General features: G+C 35.3%; 1 annotated feature.

The window, feature by feature from the left end:
- Positions 3,293-3,842: an enhancer, noted in NCBI's record as "OCT4-NANOG hESC enhancer chr5:27315951-27316500 (GRCh37/hg19 assembly coordinates)". NCBI's record gives its function as "activates a minimal SCP1, AML or CMV promoter by ChIP-STARR-seq in naive H9 embryonic stem cells {active_cell/tissue: H9 hESC(naive)}" and the evidence as "EXISTENCE:reporter gene assay evidence [ECO:0000049][PMID:30033119]".

Raw genomic sequence — 4,595 nt, 5'->3', positions numbered from 1 at the left:
ACATATTGTATTACCACCACCATCCAAAATGGTTTCATGGAACTAAAAAGTTTCTTTAGACAGATTGCATATATGAAAATAAAAATTTATTTGGCCGTTTTAATTATACCTAATGTTTCTTTTCCCCCCTTAGGGCAGAAAGAATTATTGACAAAATGTACTTGTTGTACTTTTTGATCTCTTGGGCCATAAAATGTAGTCAAAATAATATTTATGTCACTGAAATGTAAACACAAAGTGTTCCTAGTACAGAGTAGTGATTACTCTCAGACTCCAATTAGATATTCATTTAAATCTTGGTTCCATTGCTAGTAATTGTCCAACCTTGGACAAGTTAATATTCCTTTATATTCTTAAACATCATTGTCTTAAAAAGATTATTTATAGGGTTATTTAGTTTAGCATAGTTTCAGGGATACATGATTTCATATTATAGCATTGTCCAAGGACAAGGCAATAATGAACAATGACAAAAGCGACAATGATATTGTTCAGATGTTCTGTTTCTTCCAAATTTCATGTTGAAAAGTCATTTCCAATGTTGGAGGTGGGACCTAGTGGGAATTGTTTTGTCATGTGGGTGGATCCCTCATAAATGGTTTAGCGCCATTCCCTTGGTGATGACTGAGTTCTCACTATTAGTACACAAGATATCTGATTGTTTGAAAAGTCTTGGATCTCCTCCGCATCTCTCTCTTGCTACCTCTCTCACTATGTGATGCGCTGGCTCCATCTTTGCCTTCTACCATGATTGTAAGCTTCTTGAATCCTCGCCAGAAGCTGGACAGATGCTGGTGTGATGCTTATACAGCCTGCAAAACCATGAGTCATATAAACCTATTCTCTTCATAAATTACCCAGCTTGAGGTATTTTTTTTACATGGACTAGCACAAACATTATGGAATTCTGGAAATGAATTCAGGATTATACAGGAAAAAAGTACAGTCTGCTTTGGTATTGCTCTAAAACAATGTAGGCAGTTTTGCAGGCAAATAGAATTTACACATGAATATTCAGCATTGTGAGTCCATCCTGACAATTTGATGGTTTTGTTATAAAGAGTGGTTTTGTCCTCCTGTGCACTATTGTAGTGTGTTGAATAGATGCCTCAATGTGATATATTCAAGCCCCAAACCCTGGTGCTTGTATATGTGAACTTATTTGTAGATAAGATCTTTGTAGATGTAATTAAGTTAAGGATCTCTAGAGGAGATCATCTTGAACTTTGGGTAGGCCCTAAATTCAGTGAAAGTACCCTAAAAGGAGTCAGAAAAGAAGACACAGAAATATACAAAGAGGAAGCCCATGGGAAGACAAAGGCAATGGTTAGAATGACACATGCGCAAGCCAAGAAATACTAGGAATTGCTGCCAGTCACCAAAAACTAAGAGCAAGGCGTGAAACAGATACGCCCAAGGATTCTCTAGAATAAAGCAACTCTTACAACACCTTGATTTCAGGCTTTGGTCCTCCAGAACTATGAGAGAATACATTCTTGCTATTGTAAGCCGCTAAGTTTGTAATAATTTATTATGATATCCCTAGGAAATTAAGACAGCTGTTTCTCTTATATTTTGGAGCCTCTATTAATTTTTAAATGTATATCATGCCATATATAAAGGTATATATTAAAGATATAGGTATTGATACACAGATATAAAATATAAGTGCTATATATAATTAATGCAAATTATTTTATTAGGAATTCTTTACACAATTGTTTTTTAAGAATGAGAATGATGTCTAATGCACTTTGATTTTTTTTATTTGTTTGTTTGTTGTTTCTTATTTTTTGAGACAGAGTTTCGCTGTTGTTGCCCAGGCTGGAATGCAATGATGCAATTTCGGCTCACTGCAACCTCTGCCTCCCGGGTTCCAGCAATTTTCATGCCTCAGCCTCCCGAGTAGCTGGGATTATAGGTACCCGCCAGCACTCCTAGCTCATTTTTTGTATTTTTAGTAGAGACGGGGTTTCACCATGTTGGCCTTGCTGATCTCAAACTCCTGAGCTCAGGTAACCCACCCGCCTTGGCCTCCCAAAGTGGTCTAATGCACTGTGATGAAATTGCAATGTAAAGATTCCTGAAAACATTGTACTGTACAAAATGACCACATTGTTTTTCTGAATTGTTTCTTTAAAAAGAGCATCATTTATCATGATTTAAATAGTGAAATAGCATCATCAGTCATGACTTTGTCATGAAATGTGTTAGCTGGAAGTGGACCTTTATTTGGTGGAAGACTGGTAATGCTGGTGTTATCTTCCTATCTCCTTCTAGTCTATCTCTTTGTCTATAGGTGAAAGCACTTAAAATTAACTACTCTAGTCAGTTTCTTGACGAAAAAGAAAATACAAAGGCAATTCAAATTCTGCTAATTGCCATCAAGCCATCCATAGGTGGAATTCTAAGAGTGTGATTATTACAATGATTTTAAAAATGAAAACTCAACAGTGAACTGTCTTTTATTAGTTGGTGCACAAGTAATTGCAGTTTTTGCCGTTGAAAGTAATGGCAAAATCACAATTACTCTTGCATCAACCTAATGAAATAATTTTGATACAGTCTAATCTTTAGCTATGACCTTGTTACAATAATTATAATATGGACTTCCCAAAGGAGCAAGTAATGAATTAGCTTCATGGGTAACTATAGTATTATTTTACTATTTTTAAGCCAAGGATGTAGATATAAGAATTTCAGTTCAGTATTATTTTCCATAAAAATAAATTACCTGTTTCAAATGTTAAATGTATCACTAGAAACATAACTTGATTATGAAAATTACTGGAATCAACTATGTGTATTCGAAAGGATTTTTTTCCAAGTGTTCTTAAATCAAATTTCGCTTACGTTTATTTCCTAATTTGTTCTATCTGCGTGCTGAAAGATGAGCAACGTTGTGCCTTTTAAAACTGTATACAACTATTTATAGATGTATCTGGGATGGTACAAACAAAATAATGTATAATTGGAATTACCTGATTTCTAAAACTCAATGTAACTCTTTTCTCCTGCTAATGGGTAAAAAAAAAATTATAATATGCACAGTCCAGGAATAGCATATGTACATTAGAGCATATATCAATATTGTACTAGGCAAAAGAAGATATGAAGTGTGGAAATTTATCAGTGAAGCAGCCCTGCTTCCTCCTTTTTATTTTCTTGTTAGGCGTGAGTCATGGCAGAGATATTTTGGAATTTCAAGTAAGTAGATACTGAGATGAGATGGGGTGAATAGTCCCAGCACATTTTATCTTGTACGATAAAAATAACTCTCCAGTCATATGGAGAAGGATGCTTAAATATGACCAGTATTGAGACTCCAAACCACTCTAAGTATGAACAATATGGTATGAAGAGAATAAAATATCTTTGGTTAATTTGCCCCTTTTGAAAGGTAGAAGAAATCTGACCCAGATTTAGTAAAGACAAGTTGCCAGGATATCCGCTCAAATAGAAGGTTTCAACTCATCGTGGTCCTACATTTACACTCTTAAAAGGCTTCAGGAATAACAGTGAACCACAGGAAGTACGCTTCCTCACAGCTGGCAAGGGCAGCCTGAAAGAACTCATGCTGTCCCCATCGTGGCCCACTAGATTGAGGCTGCCAGCTTGGTGTAAGCTGGTCATTTAACACTGATTTCATTCTGTCAGAGAGAAGCCAATCAGGAGTGATTCTTAAATTGTCTCACCTCTAAAACAGGCACTGAATCTGAAATAAGTTCAATGTCCACTAAGTTCTTTTACTTTGAAAAGGTGGAAAAGGATCGTAAGAAATAATAGCAATGCTTTTTTACTCTATTGGAGCAAATAGCCCCAACTAAAATTCTGAAACCTTTGAGGTTACATTACACAAAAGATTCATTAAAATATTTTTAGTTGGAGTGGTTTCAGCCTAACCAGTGTCATATTTCATTTTTCTCGTACTACTTAGTGGGTGAGTCATATATGTGAGAATATCAGTTAAGAATACCAGGCTACACTATTGAAAAATCTTGCACATGTGCTAAACACTGATCTTATATTCTGAGGCAACAATCAACTTTAACTCAATCAGTTTAGTTACATCATATCAAGTGAATTCCAGAGTGTGTCTGACAAAGGTTTATTAACTTTGTTTATGCATTTTTACAACGTAATCATAATTTTAACTAAGGCTAGAAAAGTATGGAAATTTTTTTAAGTAGTCATTTCTGGTTCAGATTGCATCTGGACCCTAGGAGAAATAAATGTAAAATTGATTTCCATCAATTATGGAAGTGTAAGTTATTTGGGATATTGTGGCTATTCCAATAAATAATTTGAGTTGTGCTTCCTAAGCAGCTTTGTCATGACTCTGGAAGAGGATGCTAATATTCTCTTTCTATTAACAAGTTGCTGACGTCTTTTACAGTCACCTGGGGACCCCAAGATACCCCTGACCCTTGTGTCCTGGAATCTCCTTATTAAGTTTACAGCTGAGAATGACTAGGAAATGCAATCCCAAGAGAAAAGAAAAAGGCTTTGCAAATGGTTAAAATGACAAAAACTAGAATACAGCTTTTTAAAACAGAAAAAAATCTATCGTGCCTCAGAAAGCAGGGCTCTAAAAT

Source organism: Homo sapiens, chromosome 5 (genome assembly GCF_000001405.40).
Source record: "Homo sapiens chromosome 5, GRCh38.p14 Primary Assembly".
In the NCBI taxonomy this organism is placed as follows: domain Eukaryota; kingdom Metazoa; phylum Chordata; class Mammalia; order Primates; family Hominidae; genus Homo; species Homo sapiens.
The sequence above is the reverse complement of the archived record's forward strand: the minus strand, read 5'-3'. Positions and strand labels throughout refer to the sequence as shown.